This window comes from Homo sapiens, chromosome 6, assembly GCF_000001405.40.
Source record: "Homo sapiens chromosome 6, GRCh38.p14 Primary Assembly".
NCBI classification, from domain to species: domain Eukaryota; kingdom Metazoa; phylum Chordata; class Mammalia; order Primates; family Hominidae; genus Homo; species Homo sapiens.
Genome location: NC_000006.12, coordinates 24,972,420 through 24,998,408, shown reverse-complemented (window position 1 = coordinate 24,998,408; position 25,989 = coordinate 24,972,420). Strand labels below are relative to the sequence as shown.

The 25,989-nt window shown below is 40.4% G+C and overlaps 1 protein-coding gene and 1 pseudogene across 5 annotated transcripts in view, besides 2 other annotated features; one reads left to right on the top strand and one right to left on the bottom strand.

The window, feature by feature from the left end:
* Positions 1-25,989, top strand: part of RIPOR2 (RHO family interacting cell polarization regulator 2) — a 237,885-nt gene that overhangs the window by 43,760 nt on the left and 168,136 nt on the right. The gene's annotated exons all lie outside the window — the stretch shown is intronic.
* Positions 12,698-13,316: an enhancer, noted in NCBI's record as "OCT4-NANOG-H3K27ac hESC enhancer chr6:24985321-24985939 (GRCh37/hg19 assembly coordinates)". NCBI's record gives its function as "activates a minimal SCP1, AML or CMV promoter by ChIP-STARR-seq in naive and primed H9 embryonic stem cells {active_cell/tissue: H9 hESC(naive and primed)}" and the evidence as "EXISTENCE:reporter gene assay evidence [ECO:0000049][PMID:30033119]".
* Positions 17,101-17,671: an enhancer, noted in NCBI's record as "OCT4-NANOG-H3K27ac-H3K4me1 hESC enhancer chr6:24980966-24981536 (GRCh37/hg19 assembly coordinates)". NCBI's record gives its function as "activates a minimal SCP1, AML or CMV promoter by ChIP-STARR-seq in primed H9 embryonic stem cells {active_cell/tissue: H9 hESC(primed)}" and the evidence as "EXISTENCE:reporter gene assay evidence [ECO:0000049][PMID:30033119]".
* Positions 21,222-22,032, bottom strand: PPIAP29 (peptidylprolyl isomerase A pseudogene 29; annotated as a pseudogene).

Here is a 25,989-nt window from a genome sequence, read left to right as displayed (position 1 = left end):
TGCAATATAAAATCCTTGTAAATGAGAAATACATTTGTAAATATGTACTGATTTGTACATATGTCTGATGGTAAATTTGATTATTCACAACTTTTCAAAAACACACTCCTGTGTTTTTGCAAGTGATCATTTTGTTGAGATTCTCAAAGAATTACTTGAGCAAGCTGATGAACACATCATGGAGTATAAATTGCAGAGGAGACCGTTTTCTATCCAAAACACAAGAAAACAAACAGATTGAGGAAGTTAAGGGGAAAAGGAGAAAAAGAGGGGCTTGGCAGTTTAAGAGTGTGGGCTAATTTACATCTGAAAATCCTCTCTCATGCTGTTCTCTGCACCTGGAATACCCTCCCCACCGCCTATTCAATTTCAAGGCCCAAATCAAGCTCTATTCCTAAGACTTTTTTGATTGCTCCAGTGCATCCAATCTCCTTTTCCCCTTTAGTTAGTGGCCCTGAAACCTAAGTGTGAGAATCACCCAAAGGACTTACCGAAGCAAAGTTTTGGTTTCAGTAGGTCTGGAGTGGGGACTGAGGATGTATTTCCAACAAGTTCCCAGATGATGCTGATGCTGCTCACGGGCCACACTTCGGGAATCACTGCTTTAAACCAGTGCGTGTTTCTCAGACTTTAATGTGCATACAGATCACCTGGGGGTCTTGCAAAGGATGCTACACTGAGCTCTATATCAATGGTTTTCAACAAAGGATGACTTTACTCCCAGGGAACATTTGGACATGTTGGACATTTTTGGTTGTTATATACTGTGGCAGTAGGAAGTGAGGAGTGCTTTTGCTTGTTACTGGCATCTAGTGGGTAGGGGCCAGAGATGCTTCAAAACATCCTACAATGCCAAGGACAGCCTCCCACAATCAAGAATTATCTAACCCAAAATACCACTGTTGGGAAACCTTGATTTAAACCATACAATTTAGATACCATCACCATTTGCTATTGCTCATGGAGGCTGTAAGGACTGCAGTTTCCTAAAAGCAAGCACTATGTCTAATATAGAAATTCTGAGGCTCTTCCTCTTTCTGGGCCAAATACTACCTTCCCACCCCACCTCCCCTCCAAATGCCTAACGCAGTGTTTACTACATAGTGAGCATACAGGAAAAGGTTTTTTAAATTAACTACCTAGGAACACTCAAACTAGTGGTTCTCAGGCTTAACTGTATATTAGAATCACCTGGGGAGTTTTTTAAAACACAAATGCCTGCATCCCACCAACAGAGATTCTGATTTCATTGTTGTGTGCTATGGCCTGCATGTTGGGAGTTTTAAAAGCTCTGCAGGTGAGCCCAATGAGCAGACAAGGTTGAAAATCATTGGACTCCATCCTCGCTAGTTAGTAATTCACATTTGAAACTGTGAGATTGAGAAGGAACACTTGTAGCCGCTTCAGCGTATGTATGATTGCCCCTAAGGAAAACCCATTCCAAAACAAGTTAGACCCATAAAATGTCATTAATTTCCAAGTAGTTGTTCTGTACCGCCTGTGAGTTGTCCATTATGCTATGTGCTAGGAATACAAAATTGAAAAGTTTAAGGGCTCTGCCTTCTAGGGACCTCCTAGTGCAATGGAGAAGTTAACTATGAACAATACAGTAAGTGCTATAATAGAAGCCTGTATAAAGTGCCTGAGTCACGCAGAGGAAGTATCACACTAAAGGAAGTGGCTTACTTTTCCCAAGGGCTCAGAAGAATTGGGGAAGGGGTTCTTAGAGAAGCCTCTCACCTGGGTGTTGAAAGTAAACAGTGTTGATTGGAAATGTCAAGTACATCAGCGTGGTTGGACACAGTTGGACTAGCTGGTGTTAAAGGAAGCAGAAACAGTGGTGGGAGGGAAGGGAAAGGGGCAGCACAGGGCTTGAGGGCATAAGGCCATTCATGAAGAGCTGCATGCTCAGGGGTCAGGACTGTATAGACGAGAGGCAGCCAGCGATGGTTAAACAGAGAAGTGATCTGAGGAGGTGAGCTCACTGTGATCCCCACCTCCTCTGCACACTTGAGGGCTGTAATTAAAAGATGCATTCATCAACTCCTGTTGTGCAATAACCCAGGGTCATAAATCAAATAACAGCAGGCTGTCTTTTTCTAATTTTTTTGATCTTTTGTTTATCGTAGATTTTCTGCCCATAGTTCATAGATGAGACCTGAAAAATATGTAGGATCCAGGTGGTGAAAGACCACATGAAAAATGATAAGTAGTTTGCACTTTGTCTAGGGACAATAAGGAAACATTGAAAGACTTTAAGCATGGAAATAAAGGAATTTTATTTTCTAGGTTAAAAATATCACTCTAGGCCAGGCGTGGTGGCTCACGCCTATAATCCCAGCACTTTGGGAGGCCGAGGCAGGTGGATCACGAGGTCAGGAGATCAAGACCATCCTGGCTAACACGGTGAAACCTCGTCTCTACTAAAAATACAAAAAATTAGCCGGGTGTGGTGGTGGGCGCCTGTAGTCCCAGCTCCTAGGGAGGCTGAGGCAGGAGAATGGCATGAACCCGGGAGGCGGAGCTTGCAGTGAGCTGAGATCACGCCACTGCACTCCAGCCTGGGGCGACAGAGCGAGATTCCATCTCAAAAAAAAAAAAAAAAAAATCACTCTAGTTGCAGATTTGAGAGTAGATTTGGGATGTTAGATCTTCATAGAAACATCTGTATTTATACAGATATAAAATATCCCTTGGGGAATTGCTATGAACTTTATTAAAATGGTTCACAATATAAAGAATGACTTGAGAACATATAAGAGGTACCTTGTATGTTGTATTCTCTGTAAGCAGAGCTTTGTGGAGTTGTGCGAGACTGCAGCCCTGCCACCTTCATTCCAAGTTCACTTCCCTGATGCTCCTACGGCACAGAATCTAGAGGATGACAAACTGTGTAGAAGGGGTGGATTGAGTTGCCGGGATTGGCAGTTTCCCAGGCAAGGCCTGGCTGTCCAGAGTCCTCCCTCCCCGTGGCCACTTGCCCCTACTCCCTTCCCCCAGTGATGCCACCCAGGAATAGCACACTTTATCCAACCAAATGGCTTCCCTCTGGGACCATTTCTCTTCTGTCCTGATGGACCCTTTGAGACAATTCATTGCCCCTTCAGCAGCTCCTATTGCTGAAGCCTCACCCTCCTCTGCAGCCACATCCACCCCAGGAAAAGTCTCTGTGCACTCCCAGGCTGAGGACCCCTTTAGAGGCAAAGCAAACAGCAGAGCCAGGGAGCCTATTAAGGCTGGGGTCCTGCTCTCTAGCACAAAACCCTCATAATAAGAAGAGAAGATGATGCAGAAAGGAAAGGAAAAGTCCCCACGCTGGTAGCTCAGGCCTAGTTCCCAGCCCTTCTTCCTCAGAACCAGATGGCTCCCTGGATTTAGAGTATCCCCTAGTGGCCTCAGCAACCAAATTCTGCATGGCAGAGAGGATGGTTGGCCACAGACACTGGGGCCATATACATCACAGTATAATGTCTAAACAAAATGTGAGCTCCATTGGCTGTCAGAGTTCACTGTGAATCAATACATCCAAGAAATGGGAAGAGAGAGACAGAGATAATCCTCATTTTAAGATAAAGATTTAAGCTCAAGTAGAGATGGGGCAAGTGTAGACCAAATTAGGATGCTTGGAGTATGATTCTGGTATGCAAGTTTCATGGTGCTATTGGTCATTAGCACTGGCCCAGGGAGCCAGGGAACATTGTTCCACCCCAGGTTTCAGAACCCAAAACTTTGCCTTATGGTGGCCACAGACACCCCAAACCATGTCCCATCGCTCTCATGAGTACCCCAATGTCTTCTCCCACATCCTTCAAGTCCCTTCTTCTTTGCTCTTCTACAGGTGAGAATAAAGGTAGAAAAATCGAAAGTGGGCTAGGGAGCAGCAATGGTGATCAGAGCCATTACAACAGATCGGAAATGCTTTCAGCACCACTTTACCTGCAAATGGCTTTCAACATCCCAGTCTCCTCATGGCTTAGCACATGGTGTTTTTGATGGAAATAAGGTGCTATATTGTGATACACTCTAAGATGCTGCAAAGAAACGTGATCAGACCTTCAAATGGTATTACCTGACCTGTACTTTCTTTGATTTGTGTTGGTCCAGACCTTCACTAATTTACAAAATAGAAGCTTAGTCTTCTCTCTTCTTAACATCCCCTTTATATCCCTTTACCTTTTTGCTTGATGTATCTTCCTCAGTCTCAAAGAGTCCAGTTCCTCATATCCTCTTATTCCTATCACCTTAAAAAACCTACTCTTTGGAAATTATCTGTTTCCCAATTACTATAACTCAGAAATTACTGTGTGTCATACCTTTGTCTGGGAGCTTACATTTTAACAAAGAACAATACATTTAGCCAAAGGAATGGCACTGTGAGTGAAATGTTAGGTACCAGTTAACTCAAGAATCAACTCTTATCTTGGGCTCAACTGCAAATTAATTGATTAAATAGTCTGTTAAAAATTTAATGAGATTTTAAAAATGATACCAAATCAAAATTTAAAGCAAGCATTAGCAGAATTGCTCTCAGGAGTCAGATAGTAAATATTGTCATCTTTGGGGGATATGCAATTTGTGAGACTGTTCAACTCTGCCTTTGTAATGTGAATGCAGCCATAGAAAATACATTAACAAATGGACATGACTGTTTAATATAACTTTATTTACAACAAGCAAACAATTGGCAGACTGAATTTGGCCTTGCCCTCAGGTCACAGTTTGAAGACCTCTGATATAGGATACTTCTTTGAATTACTGAAAGTGAGCATGTGCACAGGCACATGTGTGCACGCACACACACACCATTAACCTCTTTCATGAAAATCAAGTTATTGGGCTAAATGCCCCACTTAAAAGGCACAGAGTGGCAAGCTGGATAAAAAAGCAAGACCCAATGGTATGCTGTCTTTAAGAGAGCCATCTCACACATAATGACACTCATAGGCTTAAAATAAAAGGATGGAGGAAAATCTACCAAGCAAATGGAAAACAGAAAAAGAAGCATGGATTGCAACCCTAATTTCAGACAAAACATATTTCAAACCAAGAAAGGGGAGAAAAAGACAAAGAAGGGCATTACATAATGGTAAAGGCTTCAATTCAACAAGAAGGTCTAACTATCCTAAATATATCTGCACCCAACACAGGAGCACCCAGATTCATAAAGCAAGTTCTTAGAGACCTACAAAGAGAAAACCGTTCAAAAGATCAATGAATCTAGGAGGTGGTTTTTTGGAAAAATTAATAAAGTAGGCCACTAGCTAGGCTAATAAAGAATAGAGAGAAGATCAAATAAACACAATTAGAAATGCTGAACAAAATGTTACTATTGATCTGACAGAAATACAAACAACAAAATATTACTATTGACCTGACAGAAATACAAACAACAAACAAATTTGTCTTCCATTCAAAGATATCCTTATTGCAGATGTTTTACAATAAAGGCCATTCCCTGGTGGCACTTTGTTTGCTTGGCTCATAGGATATTTAAGTTTGAATTGCTGTCGTTGTTTTAAAATCATGAGGTTTTACATGTAAATCCAGATTTGTACCAGTACCATGCTGTTTTAGTTACTATAGCCTTGTAGTATATTTTGAAGTCTAGTAATGTGATGCCTCCAGCTTTATTCTTTTTGCTTAGGATTGCCTTGGCTATTAGGGCTCTTTTTAGTTCTGTATAAATTTTAAAATAGTTGTTTCTAGTTCTGTGAAGAATGTTATTGGCAGTTTGATAGGAATAGCATTGAATATGTAAATTGCTTTGGGCAGTATGGCCATTTTAATGATATCGATTCTTCCTATTCATAAGCATGAGATTTTTTCTATTTGTGTCTTCTCTGATTTCTTTGATTAGTGTTTTGTAATTCTCATTGTAGAGATCTTTCACCTACCTGGTCAGCCGTTTTCCTAGGTATTTTATTCTTTTTGTGGCAATTGTGACTTGGATTGCCTTTCCGATTTGGTTCTTGGTTTGGCTGTTGCTAGTGTATAGGAATACCAGTGATTTTTGGGCATTGATTTTGTATCCTGCAACTTTGCTGAAGTTGTTTATCAGGTGGAGGAGCAAATTCGTGCATATTGGAACCATGCAAAGTGAGGAGTACCTGTAATGTCTTCTGCGTGATAAGACAAATTATGAAAATTTCATGACAGCTAAGATTGAGAATGGACTATAAAGGTCACTCAAGCCAAGTGGACTCCAAAGGAAGGATCTCCTCCTATAGTACCTTGTTTTGTGACCATTTGCAGAGCTCTTGAGAAAAAACCATTATCAAATGCTTTCCTAACTCAGTGCACAGATTCTTAGCAAAGACCTGTTAATACAACACTCTGACCACCAGGTGGAGTGTCAGGCTCCCTGTCTTGCCCCCTAGGGCTTTGGTGTCAAGAGTCAAAGCTTTTAAAATATCACAGTGGATGCAAAATGAATTGAAACTCTGAGTCCACGTGGTGAACTCTCTCTGTGGAGCTCTCTTATCTCAGAAATCAGGTACAAGAAGAGGGATGTGGGGCTGCTTCCTGCCTGGATGGGGTTAGCTTCCCTCGGAAGGTCTGGAGTAAGCAGGTTGGACCAACTCACCTAACTCTTCCCTTGACCAGCTGTCTCTAGGAGGCTATTCTTTTTTTTCCTTTGAGGGTTTCATTAAAACCCTTTAAGCTGAGGTTTGGATATGGGTCTGGGAGATACAGAGGCCACTTAGCCAGTTTTGGTGGCCACCTAATCTAAGCAGAGGACTTCTCAGGGCTCCAAGAGGCCCAGCACACTGGGGGCCCACAGTGAGGTTTGGTTGTGAATTCCATAAACCTAAACCCATAGGTGGGATTTCATGGATGGCGTTCAGCCACTGTGCATAGATGTCCCTTGGTTACCTAGCAGGGGGACATAATCATAGCAGTTAGCTGGTTGAGGTTTCCAGAATTCTGAATCCTATCTGTCTTGTGGGAAATTACCTTGTTGCAATGTACCTCCTAGTATACCACCAGACAAGCTACCCAAGAAGTCGCACAACAGAATGGCTCACAGACTAAATTAAAATTGTCAAATTATATAGGTTATTAAAACAATTTAAAATACATAGCAAGAAGAGATCTGGTAAGGTAATGTAAGATAGAAAGCAAGTAGGGTGAAAGAATAATATTATCTGAATCCTACAGTGTACAAAGTTTTTACGTCCTCTCTCTCAGCTGCATCAGCCTTCAACACTGAAGCTGTGATTATAAAGACCAGACCTACCTGAGGTTTGAGCAAGAGCTCTACAAGCAGAAGGTTCCCAGGGCTAATGACGCATGCTTGTTAGAAAGACACAGGAACAGGGCCATGTATGCCTGGCTGCAATTGTAGCTCATTGATTAGACTATTGAACAGCCATGGGTTTTATTTGTGCCTTGGACAGAGAACATGTGGGTCATGATAGGTACCACCAATGGCTGGCCAAATTAAAGTGTTATGAACATTGAGTGCGCATGCATATTTTACGTATCCTGAGCATTTTGATTTTATTGTGTATTTAGAGCTTCATATGTCTGATGTACATTTAGTGCCCAAGTGCCTCGTGTATATTTATGATCTCATAAAATACTAGGATTCTCCTGGCCCATCCATTCTTTTCTATCTATATTTAACATACACGTGCTCTACTAAGTACTTTACTTAACACCTCTTATGAGCTTATGACATATCCCATTTCTTTTTTCCTTCTACAGCATAGCTGAATGTTCTCAAACAATGCAACAAATGCACGCTATGAGTCACCCTTTGAGTATTCAGTCCTCTCATTCTAATACATTATACAGATAAGTTTAAACTATAAACCATCATGGTCATAGTAGACAATATTGAAACAGCGGCTTTTAAACTATTCACTCGTATCAACATAAGTCCAATCAGTCCACTTTTTTCAGAAGCCCCAGGGTACGACTCACGATTGTGGCTTCTTGAGACCATGAGGCCATATGAAGCTCTGAGCATCCAGGTATCACATCTTTGTCATCAGCTCTAATTGTCTGCAATGTTGGAGTTCCTCTTTTGGTATTGACTTCTTATTTGCTGATTTATCTTTTCTACATCATTAGAAGCACTATCAATGATGTTTTTGCAAATATCCACCTATTAAAGTTGATTTGGTCTTGTCCTTTGACACGTCCAGAAACTAAGACCTTTATCTTTTCAGCACACTGAGACGTTATTGCCTAAAAGCACATGTTACAATATGACTACAAACATCATTTTGGATAAGCCAACTCTTTCATTTGAGAAAATGTCCAGGAACTGAAAGTGAGGATTTTATTTTTGATATAGTATGTTTTGTTGCATTTGGCCTATTTTATTTATATTGACACAACAAAAGGTATTTTTTTATTTTTTTTTATTTTTATTTTTTGAGACTCATGCTATAGCCCAGGGTGAAGTGCAATGGCATGATCTCGGCTCACTGCAACCTCTGTCTCCCAGGTTCAAGCAATTCTCCCTGCCTCAGCCTCCCAAGTAGCTAGGATTACAGGCGCCCACCACCACGCCTGGCTAATTTTTGTATTTTTAGTAGAGATGGGGTTTCACCATCTTGGCCAGGCTGATCTTGAACTCCTGACCTCATGATCCACCTGCCTCGGCCTCCCAAAGTGCTGGGATCACCGCGCCCAGCCAGGGTATTAAATATTAAACCTATGCAAATAACTACACCCACACAAAAAGTAAAGAAACTTAGTAAATGCACTTTGCATAGTGTTTAACTGCTATTCTAAGGAGTAAAATCAATCAATATGTGATATCTTTTTCATTTTATAAATCTTATAATTTTAAGAAAAGTACAAGGCTGGGTATGGTGGCTCACACCTATAATCCCAGCACTTTGGGAGGCCGAGGTGGGCGGATCACCAGGTCAGGAGTTCAAGACCACCCTGGACAACATGGTGAAACCCTATCTCTACTAAAAATACAAAAAAATAGCCAGGCATGGTGGTGCTTGCCTGTAATCCCAGCTACTCAGGAGGCTGAGGCAGGAAAATCACTCAAACCCAGGAGGCGGAGGTTGCAGTGAGCTGAGATCATGCCATTGCACTCCAGCCAGGGAGACAGAGCAAGATTCTGTCTCGAAAAAAAAAAAGAAAAAGACAAGTACAATTAGTATAAGTAAAATATATACTTATAAGTATTACAAATATAATAATTTTCCTCAAATTTGTTTAAGATATTATATCCATGAAAATGAAGCAAACAATGATCCTAGAAATTAAATAACATGATTTTTGATATTAAAAACTCAGCAGATATATATCACCAATAGAATCTTTTTGAAAGAATGACAATAGCATAAACTTCAACAAAATAAATAATGAATCCAAGAAAGATGAAGATGTAGGGTTCAAGAATCAGTGTAGAGGAAAGAAACTAGTTGACTTGTCTAAATATGTTATATATTTAAAATTAATAACACAAATTAAAATCTGGATTAGATATTGGCAAATGTTTTCTGTAAAAGGGCAGATAGTAAATATTTTCAGTGTTTGATCCATATAGTCTCTGTTCCAACCACTCAATTCTGCTGCTGTAGTGTGAAAGCAGCCATAGATAATATGTAAATGAATGGGCAATAAAACTTTATTTACTAAAGGAAGAAGCAGGCTAACCAACCCCTGTTCTGGATGATTGTAACATAAACATGGCAAGGACAAGGCATGATGGAGAGATAGGAGGGAAGTTCTAAAAGCATGATAAACACACACACACACACACACAACCAGATGTTGGGAAAAAAGTCAAGCCAATATATGATGTCTTTTCTACACAATCATTATTCTTTGAGTTTTCTTGACAGTTTATCAGATCTTTTATAAGATATTTATTTGAAATCCAGTGGGTCAGTTGAAACAAGATACCAATTGGAAGTGTGCTCAACTGAAAGATAAAGATAGATTAAGAAGCTATTCACAATAGCTGGGCGTGGTGGCTCATGCCTGTAATCCCAGCACTTTGGGAGGCCAAGGAGGGCAGATTACCTGGGGTCAGCAGTTTGAGACCAGCCTGGCCAACATGGCAAAATCCTGTCTGTACTAAAAATACAAAAATTAGCTGGGCACCTGTAATCCCAGCTACTTGGGAGGCTGAGGCAAGAGAATCACTTGAATCTGGGAGGCGGAGGTTGCAGTCGAGATTGTGCCACTGCACTCCAGCCTGGGTGACAGAGAGAGACTCTGTCTCAAAAAATAAAATAAAAAAAAAGAAGCTATTCACAATAGAACATTAACCATAGTGTGGTCAGTTATTTTAGTCCTGGGTTAATTAGTTCTTATTTTATTGATCTTGGGTTAAGCTCTACCTTCATGAAGTCTACTTCTGAACTGAAAGAGTCTTGAAAATCCCAATTCAGTCTTTGAGTAGAGTCTGACAGGAGTTAGGTATCATCTGTTACTGAGATTCTTTGATGCTTCTTCTAAAACAATTTTAGAGCTGCAGTTTGTAGCAAGGCCCCTTAGATAAGTATGAGGGAAAAACAGGAACCATCTGTTGATGACAAGACAGTATAGGCCTGGTTTATTTTTTATTATCGGCATTATCAGTTTGGAGTTTAGAATCTTCTATTTAGAGATAATATTATGAACACTGAATACATTGACAAATCTCTGAGGTCTTCTGATTTATCCCATGTGGTATATGCCATATGTAAATGACTAAACGGCAAGGACATTTATACATAGGGACACAATCAGGTTTTTAGCAGTTTAGTGTCAGTCTTTGTTTTGTGAACATTGCACAGCCCCGGTTTTACGTAGTGTGGACCTTCCACCTCACTTGTAACCCTGTTGTAAGCATCTTAATGGACTCCATCTTATTCTCTTTCATCTCCTTATGTGTTTCAAAATAATTTAATCAAATATGTGATTTGAGCCTTTTAATTTGGCCTGTGAGCCTCTCTGTTCCATGACCTCTGGGACAGCTTGTCTTGCAGCATATACTTGGAGGCTTCTGTTGCATCAAGGTAATTTTCCACATGGCACCACCCGTCAGTCATATGTCATTAAACCTCTTTCTACTCTAGACTTGATTTATAGAACCCCATGCAATGTGTATCATCACCTCTATCTGACTGCTGAGGAAACTGAGACTTGCTGGCATGTAAGTCACATAGCTGGTAAGGGGCAGGGCCAGGACTTGACTGTGGTCTTTGGACCATACTCTTTCCACCAAGCCACACTTGTCCGCCTGGCTGTGCCAGCCAGCCATGATTCTTGCTCAGTCAGTTGAGAGTTGGGCATTCAAGACTTCACTATCAGCCAGTTATATTCTAGAAAATTCTCCTTTATCCTGAGCTGAAATTTGCTTATTTGTAACTTTGACCTGTTGATTCTACTTCTATCCTCTAAAGCAAGCCTGCCCAGCCCATAGCCTTCAGGCCAATACGGCCCAGGATGGTTTTGAAGGCGGCACAACACAAATTTGTAAACTTTTTAAAAACATTATGAGATTTTTTGCAATTTTTTTTTTTTTTAGCTCATCAGCTACCATTAGTGTTCGTGTATTTTATGTGTGGCCCAAGACAATTCTTCTTCTTCCAGTGTGGCCCAGGGAAGCCAAAAGATTGGACACCCCTGCTCTAAAGGAACACAAAGAAGTCCTTCAAATATTTGAACAATTTAATCTTCTCAACTCCTCTCCAGACTACATATCTCCAGCAACATCAGCTATTCTTCACATGGTAGTTGTGTTTAGATTTTTCATTGTCTTTGGTTTGTGACGTGATCTCCAGCGCCAAGCAGAGCGTTTCAGGTGAGGTCAGGAAAGGATAGAGCACACAGCAGGACAACTACATTTCCTGAACAGAATGCTTCTCCTGTTGTGAAACAGCAATATTTCAGTTTCTTTTTTTTTTCTGGCAACTACATTATTTGGTTGGTCTTTATTAGCATCAAATAACCTGTTTTGCACTAGTTCCTAAATTATTGTTTCAAGAAACACTGGTCTACCAGATGTAATTGCCTTTTTAAAAAGTTTTCAGTGCTAAAACAACAATGTCTAATCCTAATTCAAAGTTCAACAAGTTTCTTTACTTATGAGTCCTCCAAAAAGTATCAAGACACAGTGGTTAAGAGCATGGACAGTGATTTAAATCCCAGTTCTGCCAACTGTGTGACCTTGGGCAAGTTACTTAGCCACTCTGTGCTTCTACTTCCCTGTAGGTAGACTGGAATTATAATAATAATACCTATCACAGAGGGTTGTTATAAAGATTAAATGAGTGCACATACATGAAAGCCTTAAAACAGGGCCCAGTATGTAGTAAACACTCAGGAAAATATCAACTAATATCACACAACACACAGTATTAATCTTCTAAAAGAGAATTCTGTGGAAGAAGTTTGAACAGTGCTTCCCTAGGTCCTTATCACACTGAACCATTATCAAGACTTTTCCCATTCTCTGTTCATGCAGCTGATACCTGGAACCCAAATGCAGGATGTTGTCACTTGTACTATTATATTTCACCCTGTTTTCAGTACCTTATTCCAGTCTTTCTATACCCCTGGAATGCTGATTCTGTCATTCATTCTATTAACTACCACTCCAAATCATATAAAATAAACTGTAAATTTCCCTGAGTGACTTACTGCTATCAGTAAATCTAGTTTGCAGTTGGCTACATGCAAGTACCCTGTACATCAGCCCAAGTGTTTCTTCACCTAGGACCCATGGATAGTTATAGGATTTACATCAACCAGGGGTCTAGGGGGGTCCCAGAATTCCCTACTGCTCATTCTCAAGTTGCCGTAATGGGAAGTGTGAAGGGAGCGGGGGATAGAAATTCATCCTGTCAATGTCCCTGTCATCACCTCATGAAGAACATGTCAGGGCAAGCCAGCTTGGATGTCCTGGGTAACTGACTGCCTTCCATTCTCAGGTTTATAATCCACTTGGGTTAGGGTTTCCAGAAACAATGTGCTCCTGCTGAGACATTCAGGGCCAGTCAGCAACTTGTTGTTGTCAAGAGATTTTGATCACTTGCAGCCTTCTCTTTTATTTTACTGGTTAAAAAAAAAAAATCACTTGGTCTATGGAGCCCCTGGTCCCACCTCTTGCCTTTCAGAATCCAGTTTACCTCAACTGTTGTCCCTGGTTATTTTCTGGCAGTGTTAGAAGAGAATAAGCTTTTGAACTCCAAGCAGTAACTGGCCCCTTTTCTCCCACCAAAATTGCCTTTCTATCCTAGTTGATAATGGTTTAAGTAGTGCTGTTTCCTCATGGTTGTTGATCAGTTCTTTGTTACCAACTGGAAAAAATTAAGATCTCTCCAGTTTGGAATTGTTTACGGTAAAAAAGTCAATTGCCAGTCACAAAAGTTGCGCATAGGGCACATTTCCTGAGGAGGGGACCCAAGTCCAGTGCTCTTTTATTGCATTTGGAGTTGCATCCATTAAGTTGATTTGGCAGGTGGCAGAGGGGCTCGCAGGGCTTCTCAGGGCCCCAGTGCCAGCCTCAGCAGCAATGATGGGATACACAGAACACCAAGAGGAACCTCAACCAGGCTGCCTTGTTGGGTTCCAGGGTACCAGGGTACCAGGGAAAAGGGGAGGACCATAAGGCCCTCTTTTCCTCTATCACTACAACATGTCCTGTCAGTTCTTGGGCTGATGATATTTCCTAAATCATGGGTGAATTCATGTAAATAATAATGATAATTGAAGCTTACATTTTATTGAGCATTTATTGTGGGGCCAGATACAATGCCAAGTGCTTTATTTATTTTTTAGGTTTTTTTTTTGAGAGACGGGGTCTCACTATGTTGTCCAGGCTGGTCTCCAACTCCCGGGCTCAAACCTCCCAAGTAGCTAGGACTACTGGCGTGCACCACCGGGCCCAGCTCCAAGTGCTTTAAATGCATTATCTCATTTAGTCCTCACAGCTCTTTAAGACAGTAATTATTATTCCAGTTTTACAGATTAGAAAATTGTGAGTAATTTGTCTAATGTATCCGGTAGGATTAGCCCTAGATATGTGTGTTAGAAGGTTCTTTGTAATTCTCCCCACCCTGGAGAATGTACTTTGTGAGATCCACCCCTGCCCGCAAAACATGGCTCTTCACCCCCTATCCCAAAACCTGTAAGAACTAATGATAATCCACCACCCTTTGCTGACTCTCTTTTCGGACTCAGCCCGCCTGCACCCAGGTGAAATAAACAGCCTTGTTGCTCACACAAAGCCTGTTTGGTGGTCTCTTCACACGGACGCGTGAGACAACAAACAAAATGTAGAAGTTTATTTCTTTTTCTCTCTCATGTATAAAAAGACTAGAAGTAAATAGTGCAGGGCTGACCTGGTGCTCCGAGGTGTCAAGTTCTATAGCTCCTTCCATGTTGTCACCCACTATTGTCCACATGTAGCTTCTTCCTTATGGTCCTTGAGGACCACTCAGTTTGGAGCTAGCATGTCCTTATTCTAGCAGCAGAAAAGAAACCAAAAAATGGGGTGCTCCACCTTTTAGGGATGCTTCTCTGAAGTCCCACGTAATATTTCTCTTTCTATACCATTGGATAGAACTTAACCATGGCCACACCTAGCTGCAGAGGCTCAGAAAAGGCTGGTCTCTATTCCAGGCAGCCAGGTGCTCAGCTGCTCCACAAATACTCAAGGCTTTTTTTTTTTTTTTTTTTTTTTTTGAGACACAGTCTCGTTCTGTTGCCCAGGCTGGAGTGTAGTGGCACGGTCTTGACTCACTGCAACCTCTGCCTCCCGGGTTCAAGCAATTCTCCTGTCTCAGCCTCCTGAGTAGCTGGGACTACAGGCACCTGCCACCATGCCCTGCTAATTTTTGTATTTTTAGTAGAGACAGAGTTTCACCTTGTTGGTCAGGCTGGTCTTGAACTCCTGACCTCAGGTGATCCACCCGCCTAGGCCTCCCAAAGCGCTGAGATTACAGGCGTAAGCCACCGCGCCTGGCCTCAGGGCTTTAATATTAAGGGATAAGTGGAGAATGGGTACTGGGGGACAACTAGCTGTCTTTGCCATAATTAGAACCCAGATCAGATTCCAAAGCTTGTATGATACTTGCCTTGTGTATACACATATATTACGATTAGTCATTTTGTTTAAAAAGATGAAGTTCTGGAAATACAGCCTCAGTAGTGAGGCCATATATACATATATATGTATACGTGTATATATATGTGTGTGCCTGTGTGTGTGTGTATATATGTATGTGTGTGTGTGTGTGTGTGTGTGTACGTGTTCAACCTAAAGGAAAAAACCTGAGGCAAAATTAACATAAGTAGAGAGTTTATTTGGGCCAAGTTTGCGGACTGCAACAACCCAGGAGCATAGATTCTAGTCCCCTGAGTAGATCCTCCAATTAGCAGCAGTTACAAGCAGGTTTTTAAAGGAAAAAAGAAGAGGTAGTTCCTAAATTGTTTACCAAGAATTCACATTAAAATAACCTAAGCTACTGATTGGCTGTACATTGGTCTTAGTATCACAAATTCCAGAAACATGAAGACAATGAGTGAGGCAGGGAAGAAAAGAAATAACAACATGTCTTTAAACAAGTGCTCCCCAGGCAAAGAAAGGGGTTCCCAGTGTAACTGAAATCCCATACTCCTGTCTCTCTGGGCCAGGTAAATTTTGCATACCTTACATAATGCAGCCTGCTCTGAGCTATTTTTCTTTTCTTAATATTAGATCGTTTTTAGTGGAGGTATTTCACATTTATTAGGACCTTATTATGACTATCTGACAAACGAATATATTGTACCCATTTTATATGTAGAGAAGCATAGGCACATAAGCCAACTACTTTTATTTGATTCTTAGGAAGCCACAAAGTAAGCAAGTCATTGGGCTCAAATATAAGGAAAAAAATGTTCTTGGCTTAATAAATATTTGGTGCCTGAATAAGTGATAAGCTCACTTGTCCTCAGAAATATGTAATTAGCAAAATGAAACATCAGCAGAGAATGAATCTTACTAGGGCAATAGTTACAAGGCAAGCTGAGTCACCTAGAAACTAAAAAAGAAATCTGCACTAAATTAATTTCATTCACATTCAGTCACACAAACTACTGAATAATTCATTTTGTTTGAATAGACAGCAGAACTAAAAGAATGTGGATCCTGGAAGTAGAACAACCAAACAAAACTATTATTCCTTTATTTTGCTTTATACAAAGCCAATGATTGTTAACAGCCTTTGGAAAATGGAATTTTGAGAAATGCTTTTGGTTTTCATTTTCTATACTTTATGGACAAAATATATGGATTTTTACCACAAACATGTTTTCTTTTATTACTTAAAAAAGAGATCTCTTAGAAGTTAGAGATTCTTAAAACATTATTAATCTTTAAAAGGTTGCTACTGAGACAAGTACCTTGGATTAGGGTCATTTTTCATCAGTCCATTCCTCATAAGGCAAAAAGTTGAGGGGAGGCCCAGCTCAGGGTCTGTGAAAGGTCTGCCAAACTCTGCTTTTGCAGTGCCAAGGGACAAGGTGAGCCCCCTTCCTCTCTATGCCATGTTAGGCGTAAATAAACATAATTAGCATTTATTGAATTTTTTGTCAGAAACCCTTCTAAATCTCTTTCAAGTAGCACCTCATTGAATCCCTTCAGCAAGGCTGTGAGGTAGCTGTTACTATACTCTTTATTTCATAGATGACAACACTGTGGAACAGAGAGGTTATGTGACTTGCTCAGGCTTCCACAATTAGCAAGTGGCAGAGGTAGGAATTCGACCCTGGATGATATAGCTCCAGAGTCTATAGTGTTACCCACTAAGGCGAAACATACCAGAGTGCGGGTGACTCAAGGCTTAATCAGTTGAAGGGCTGGCCAGGAGACCCTGGGCCCACTGAGTACAGATTTATACTCCCAGTTCCGGAACCAGAGCAAGCTCAGGAAAGGCCTAGCTGGCTAGCATAATCAGATGCAGGGCAGTGGGGGCTGTGGGGGTCAGGAGGTGGGCAGCAGATGCCAAAGGCAAGGAAATGTTCCCTAGAGGTGGAGAGAGAAAGCCTTTCCCTCCATTAGGCTTCAGTCTTTGTCATTCAAACTTATCTCTTTCCTCCCCTACATTCAGAATTCCTCCTGCTTTACAGAAGAAAAAGTGCGCAGGGTAAGCAAGAATTAATGCTGACTGTTTTCATTTTAGTATCCACTATGGCTCTATGGGGAAGGGAACCTGGGAAAATATTTGTTTGGGTTGATAAGTGCTTTCTACTTACCCACGAGGCAACTCTAGGCTCACAGGACATAGAAAGCAGCCCTTGAAAGCCTTATCCAAAGATAAAATTCTTTATAACCCTGTTGGTTTTCATCCAAACTCTACACCCTTTTGTTCAAATGAAGGAGAGCAAAAGCAGTGGCAACATAGAAAAGAATTTCAACTATTTGAGACCCACCCTTGTTTTTGCATCTCCTACAGAGGTGGAGAAAGTTATCCCACAGAGAAGTAAAGCAGAGGAATTTGAGATAGAAGACTGGGACAATGAATGAATGTGTTCATTCAGAGAGCCAGAGAAAGCATGTGTGCCCCAATCTCCATTCCTCTGTTTCTGTCCAGCTTCACTCACCTTCTCTGCTCCCATCCTGGATAAGCTCACTTACCTTCCCAGAGCCCAGCTGTATCAGGCCAGAGGAAGCCTCTGATGATTTGGCGGCAGGGAGATGGGAGTGGAGCAAAGCACCAATGCCCAAAAGCCCCCTGTGACTCCACAACACACTTGCCTTTATACCCACTTGCACCTGGGGATGTGGCAGGTGCTTCTGTGCACCTGGAGAGTTACAGAGCTCTGTGTACACATGACTCCTCATTCACACTTTACCATATAGGTGTGAGGGGCCAACTGCCTTCCTAATTCACAAACCATAGTTGCACCTACGGCTCTGACAAGAGCAAGGAGAGAGATGGAAACCACAGGCTTACTCATGAACTTATCTTCACATCAGGGAATACACAGTACTATTCTAAAAATCCATTTATATAAAAATGCATGTATCTGTAAAAGAGTATGTTAGGTCACATTTTAGATGACCAGGTGTCTTGATTTCACTCCCTCTTGGTGATATGGGAAAATATAGATGTCCAAGGAAGCTTTCCCACTATAACAGGCGCAACTCATATCACTTCAGTAGATAAATCGGGAAGCACATTATTGCTTTGTAATTTCTGAATCTGGACAAAGCTGAAAGGAGAGTAATTTAAAGTCATTCATGGTGTTTATTGAGATTCTTAGCAGCTTCTCAATGGCTCTAGAAGCAACAGTGCTGAGTTTATGGAATGGCAGAGAAAACTTGGATTGCATTAAATATTCAAGGCTGAGGAGCCTATCTAAGATGAGATTCTTTAATGCATCCTAGCAGAGGGCTTTAACCTGGGCTTCTGTAAGTATGGGCTGTCCCTTTTCCACTTGCTTCCTTTCCTACGGTGTTATATTTAGTGGTCAAAAACATGGTCACTAGCCAACCTACAGCAGTATAATTTATTAAGTTCCTACTATATGCTTGATGCTTTACTTACATAACTTCATTTAATGTATATGAAGGATGTATCTCTATTTGTATCTTGCAGAGCTAAGAGACTGGTTACTTACAAAGGCAGTAAGTAGTTAAATGGAGATTTGAACCCGGATTTGTCAGTTTTAAAACCTGTGCTTTTAATTGTCATGCTATACCACCAACTTGCTTCCAATAACTCAAACTAGCCTTGAATTTTCCAAATTGAAACTCATCATATGGAAGACAGATGGACCATTTATTTGGCTCTGGGTCCCAACATGGTGTGGAGGAAGTTGTGAGAGCTGGCCTTTCCTTCCCCAGCAAAGCAGAACTGGAGGCTTCCCATTAACATGCATTAATAATTCTTGCCCAGAATTCTGCAAAAGTCTTTTTTAACACCAGATAGTTGGTTACAGTAAAAAGAATGCGATTCAATTCATATTAATTCTATCAGGACCTTTTCAAAATGGGGAGCTTTTTGTGTCAGGTTTGCAGAAGACACATTTCTGATGTGGACTGGGATGACTTGGAAGAGGGTGTGGTCTCTCCCACAGGACAGTTAATGTGCAGTGTTGTGTCTTTTAAAAACAGAAAAGGAATGTCATGTCAGGGCTAAGGAAACAGCAAAAAAAAAAAAAAAAAAAAAAGAATTTCCCTATCATTTCAAGCAACTATTGCATGTTCCTTCTTTGGTTTTCGGTTTTCCCAGGAATAGACCAGTGGGAGTGGAGCAGAGAGGGGATCTTTGCAACCTATAGATAGGATGCACGACAGCTGAGAGAGGAAAGTTAAGCCCATTGTTTCTCATTATCTCATAAGGAGTGATAGAAAATGTTGAGAGGCCAATTATAAAAGGAAGTTGGGGATGAGAAGGAAGTAGTTCATGAAATAGAGAAAATAATGTTAAACCTTTCTCCAAAAATATGTGAGTCTCAGTAGTGTGCACCCCAGGCCTAAGCTAATATATGCAGTAGGTGAGGTTTATATCACTAGCATTCTGTCACGATTTCCATTCTGGGACCTTTTCACATCTTGGCCTGAGGTGTTCACTTGGCTTTGAAATTCTCCCACCAGATGAAGTAGGAATGAATGTTTACTGAGAATTTACATGTTTCATCTATTTAAATCTTATAACAGCCCTATGACAGTGGAACAAAAATTATTCCCATTTTATGAATGAGGACACTAAAGGATAGATTGATTAAATATCCTGCCGAAGGCCTCACAACTAAGTAGAATTTAGGATTCAAACCTAGGCAGTCTTATCGCAGAGCAATATTCCCAACCTCCATTCACCATGAAGCATTAGTGACCAAAAAAAGGATCAAACTTAACCCTAAATAATAACCCTCTGAAGATGGAATTTCAGAGATTGTACCATCTGGTATGAGAAGATACATGGAGGTTAGGGAGAGAAGGGGACATCTTTTCTTGGCCATTTGGTTGAGCCAACTGGCTTTTACATGCAAAGACCTTTGGTATAAATAAGACCCTGATCCTAAAGTAGTTACTTAAAGTGATATATATTTATATACTCATGCGAGCAGTATGGCGGCACAGAGAGGAGTGAATAAACATGCTTGTTTCAGTGAATTCTATAATTTTAAAACTTGAAAGCACTCTCACATTGGAAACGGGGACATTCAGGCTCAGTGAAGTGAAGGGATATGCCTAAAACCGTGCCAGTGGCGACCTTCAGCTTAACAAAAATATTTCTGCAACTCCAATAAGCTGGCCTGAAAAACAAAGCCCGTAGAATGAAAAAGACTCACTCACACTAGATTCATATTTGAGCAATACAGTAGTTTTTAAAGCAGTTCTCACTTTAAAAGGTTTTCTTACTTATTCTTACTTATTCTAATGAGAGATCGAAATCCCACTCTGGCAGTTGCAGGAAAGCTTCAATTCACACAGCTTAACAGACTGAATGCTGCTTTTCCTTCCTTGGCTCATTTCAATATAAACACCTGGCCCTGACTGCCCTTGTGTTATCCCTATATCCGTGGAGTTTTGACTGACATTCAGGCTGGCCACCCAAAATCCTTTGCTGATATCACAGCTTTAGATGAATACATGGAGGTAGGGAGGGAAGCTTCCTCTGCCCTTCAATAAACATTACAACTTTTTTGGAAATTCTGATGACTATAATTCTCAAAACTTTTACATCCTGAATAATTAGGATTTCAAGAGCCAGATGTTTACAGAAACCAACAAAACATCAGGGCAGCCTTTCAACAGGACCATAGCTACCCTCCCATCACTGATGGGCCAGTGACGGGACCTGGCTCTTTTCCTTCCATCGAGATTATTAGCAAAACTAGAAAATGTTTATTACATGATTCTCCTGAGTTTTCTTATATTTGAACAATAAAATATGGAACTACTATGCTTTATTTCAATATTGGAGATAAATATTTGGTCTCCGTTTCCTGTTATGTATCTGATAGAATAGGCTCTTAGATGAAGTTGAAAGTGGCTTGTGTTCTGAATTTCTCTGTTTTAAATTAAACATGTACCTTTATTATGATTTAAAAGGCATACCAAAAAAAGGGAAGGGGGGACACATAGTCCTGTCGACCTTTTAGGACATTCAGAGAAGTTTCAAGCAAAAAAAAAATTGAAAACATTGGTAACCCTACCATGATTTTTGGTATTTTTTTCTATATGTATGGCTTATTTGCCACAAAATTGGTGTCATTCTATATATATGCAGTGAGTTTTTTCTCGTTTCTTTTTGTTGTTGTTGTTATTTAGTTTTTATTTCATAATCATAAACTTAACTCTGCAATCCAGCTAGGCATGGGAGGGAACAAGGAAAACATGGAACCCAAAGGGAACTGCAGCAAGAGCACAAAGATACTGGGATACTGCAAGCAAATGGGGTGGAGGGGTGCTCTCCTGAGCTACAGAAGGAATGATCTGGTGGTTAAGATAAAACACAAGTCAAACTTATTCGAGTTGTCCACAGTCAGCAATGGTGATCTTCTTGCTGGTCTTGCCATTCCTGGACCCAAAGCGCTCCATGGCCTCCACAATATTCATGCCTTCTTTCACTTTGCCAAAGACCACATGCTTGCCATCCAACCACTCAGTCTTGGCAGTGCAGATGAAAAACTGGGAACCATTTGTGTTGGGTCCAGCATTTGCCATGGACAAGATTTCAGGACCTGTATGCTTTAGGATGAAGTTCTCATCTTCAAATTTCTCCCAGTGGTGACTTGCCACCAGTGCCATTATGGCGTGTGAAGTCACCACCCTGACACATAAACCCTGGAATAATTCTGTGAAAGCAGGAACCCTTATAACCAAATCCTTTCTCTCCAGTGCTCAGAGCACGAAAATTTTCTGCTGTCTTTGGGACCTTGTCTGCAAACAGCTCCAATCTGTTAACATAGCTTTATGGATTAGATGAGCAGTCACTTCTTGGTTTCCAGGCCCCTTACCTCAAAGGAGATGCGGCCCAAGGGCTCACCGTCGACGGCAATGTCGAAGAACATGGTGGGGTTGACCATGGCTAATAGCACACGGTTTTCCTCGGCGGCGGCGTCTGCAAAGCCTTTTCTCGTTTCTTAATATCATATTTTCTAGAATAATTTAGTCATTTTTAAAAACACAATTTAAGTGGTTGCACAATATTTCAAGGCATATATACGTTCTAATATATGTAACTATTTCCTTATTGTCATACATTTGGCTGTCGGCAATTTTTGTCATTATAAATAATGCCATAGTGAGTATGTTTGCACATATTCTTTTTCCTTGTTATTTTCTAGATATAAAATTATTCCACCAAAAGGATGAATTTTAAAAATTATCTTAACATGTTACTAATATGACATCCAAAAAGGCTGAACCAGTTAACCTTTCCGCTAGCATTTCTTTAGGTGTTAATAAATTTGACACTTTTCTCTTTTCAAAAATTTTTAACTCTGGCAAAATACACATAAAATTTAGCATGTTGATCATCATTAAGTGTATATAGTTCAATAGTGCTAAAGTATATTCACGTTGTTATACAACCAACCAATCTCTAGAAGTTTGTTTTTTCCCAGCTTTACTGAGGTATGATTGATAAATAAAAATTATATATATTTATATATTTAGGGTGTACAAAGTGATGTTTCAATATACGGACACATTGTGAAATGATTAGTACAATCAAGTTAATTTACATATCTATCACCTCACATAGTTACTTTTTTTGTATGCTGAGAACAATTGAGATTTACTCTCTTATCAAATTTCAAGTATACTATGCATTATTATTACCATTATTTTATAGATGGAGTCTCACTATATTGCCCAGGCTGGGCTTAAACTCCTGGGTTGAAGCAATCCTCCTGCCTCAGACTCCCGAGTAGCTGGGACTACAGGTGTGCACCACTGGGCCTGGCTAACAATACATTATTATTAACTGTAGTCACAATGCTGAACATTAGGTCTGATAACTGAATATTTGTACCCTTTAATCAATGTCTCCCCTTTTCACCATCCCATGCTTTTCTGAATTTTCTGTTCATCTGTACTTCTCTTGCATATTGTGTCGTTTGCCTAGTTTTTTACCGTGCTGTACATCTTTTTCTTATTTCTTTATATTTGTTTATTTGATTTGGAAGAGTTCCTTATTAAAGTATATTTCCCATTCTCTGTTATACATGCTGTAAATATCTCTACATTCTTTGTGTTTAAACTTCTACAATTAAAAGTTAGTAGTTTGGTGAAATTTACAAATGAAGATAAGTAGAGATTCATTATTTATTTTAGCTGTATTGAGATTTAATTCACATACCGTACAGTTCACCAATTTAAAGTGTATAATTCAATGGCTTTTAGTATATTCACAGAGCTGTACTACTATCACCATGATCAATTTTAGAATATTTTTATTACCATTAAAAGAAACCCCATACCCATTAGCAGTCACTTCCCACTTCTCCTTTCACCCCAGCTCCTGGCAACCACCAGTCTACTTTCTGTCTCTGAAGATTAGCTTATTCTTTACATTTTATTTCCATAAACTCATACAATATGTAGTTTTTTGTGACTGGCTTCTTTCACTTAGCATAATATTTTAATGGTTCATCTATGCTGTAGCGTGTATCAATACCTCTTACTTTTTGTTGCCAAGTAATCTTGCACTGTATGACTATACCACACTTTATCTATTCATCAGTTGATGAACAGTTGTTTCCATTTTTGGCTATGATGAATAATGCTGCCACAAACATTTGCATACATGTTTTTGTGTGGACAAATATCTTCATTTCTCTTGGGTATATAACTGGGAATGGAATTGCTGAGTGCTATGGTACCTTTTGAGGAACTGCGAAGCTCCTTTCCAAAGCTACTGCACCATTTTACATTCCCACCAGCAATGTATAGGGGCTCCAGTTTCTCCACATCTTCCTCAACGCTTGTGATTATCAGTGTGTTGTAGCCATCCTGCTGGGTGTGAAATACTCTCTTGTGGTTTTGATTTCCATTTTCCCTGATGACTAATGATGTTGAACATATTTTATAATTTCAATTGGGTTTTTTTGTTTGTTTGTTTTTTGGTTTTGAGACAGGATGCTGCTCTGTCACCCAGGGCTGGAGTGCAGAGGCACGATCACGGCTCACTGCAGCCTGGAACTCCTGGGCTCAAGTGATCCTCAATAACTAGGACCACAGGTGCTCACCACCGCATCCAGCTAATCTTATTTTTTTCCTTGCAGAGAGGAGGTCTCACTATGTTACCCAGGCTGGTCTCTAACTCCTGGGCTCAAACAGTCCTCCCACCTCTGCCTCCCAAAGTGCTGGGATTACAGGCATGAGCCACCACCCAACACAACTTATTAGACTCAACGAGCACATGTGCAGGATTGTTACATGAGTATATTGTGTAATGCTGAGTTTTGGGGTACAATTGACCCAGGTCACCCAGGTAGTGAACATAGTACCCAGTAGTTACTTTTTCAACCCTTATCCCTCTCCTTCTCTCCGTCCTCTAGTCATCCCAAGTGTCTATCATTCCCATCTTTATGTCCATGTGTCCCCAAGATTTAGCTCCCACTTATAAGTAAGAATATGTGGTATTTGGTTTTCTGTTCCTACATTAATTCACTTAGGATAATGACCTCCAGCTGCATCCATGTTGCTGCTAAGGACATGATTTAATTCTTTTTTTGTGGCTGCATTGTATTCCATGGTGTATATATACCATATTTTCTTTATTCAGTCCACCATTGATGGGCACCTAGATTGATTCCATGTCTTTGCTATTGTGAATGGTGCTGTGATGAACATGTGAGTGCATATGTCTTTTTGGTAGAAGGATGACTTTTTTTTTTTTTTTTGAGATGCAGTCTCACTCTGTCACTAGGCTAGAGTGCAGTGGTGTGATCTCAGCTCCCTGCAATCTCTGCCTTCCAGGTTCAAGCTATTCTCCTGCCTCAGCCTCCCAAGTAGCAGACGCACGCCACCACACCCATCTAATTTTTTTTTGTATTTTTAGTAGAAACGGGGGTTTCACCATGTTGGCCAGGATGGTCTTGATCTCCTGACCTTGTGATCCACCCGCCTCAGCCTCCCAAAGTGCTGGGATTACAGGCATAAGCCACCAAGCCCAGCCTAGAAGGATGATGTTCTTTTGGATATATACCCAGTAATGAGATTGCTGGGTCGAATGTTGTTCTACATTCTTTGAGAATCTTCAGACTGCTTTCTATAGTGGCAAAACTAATTTACATTCCCACCAACAGTGTATAAGCATTCCCTATTCTCTGCAGCTAATTGACTATTTAAATATGTTTTTTGGAGAAATGTTTATTCAGATCAAATGAATATATGTTAATAGATGCTTTCTTTTTCCCTCTCTTCTTTCCTTCCTTCCTCTCCTTTCATTACTTTATTTTCAAATTTGTGCCATAGATAATTAAAAGAGCTGGGATGCACGTATGTCCCTCAGCAGTGGAGCAAGCCCATCTCCAGCATGGCTACAGATCCAAGATTCACATTAACAGACGTTTTCTATAAAGAAATTCTATCCCTGTCTCCACCCATAAAATAAAGTCATTACTCAGCATTTCATAATTTATTAGTAAAACAGATTTTTCAAGGGTGAAAAAGCTTCTAAAATTTGTCCAGACTTAACCACCTGTGAGTTCCTTCCATAACATATGCTGCCAAATTATACACACATCCAGTGACAGGGAATTTATTACCTCCCAAGGCAGTCATTGTAATGCTGGACAAATAACTTTATTCCTGGAGAGTTATTTGTTATATAGAGCTTAAATCTACCTCTCTGAAGCTTCCACCTCCTAGTTTCACTCCATGAGGCATTATAATATCCCTTTGAGACATCATAAAACCCCTGAAGCCTACCCACATATCTGAAAACCTCTGTTGTATTACCCTCCTCTGAGACCTCTCTTCTTCAGGGTAAATGTCATAATGCCTGCAACTGTTCTTCTAACGTAATGGTTTCTGTCCGGGCCTTCACCAGCCTCCTCTGAATGGTCCAATCTCTC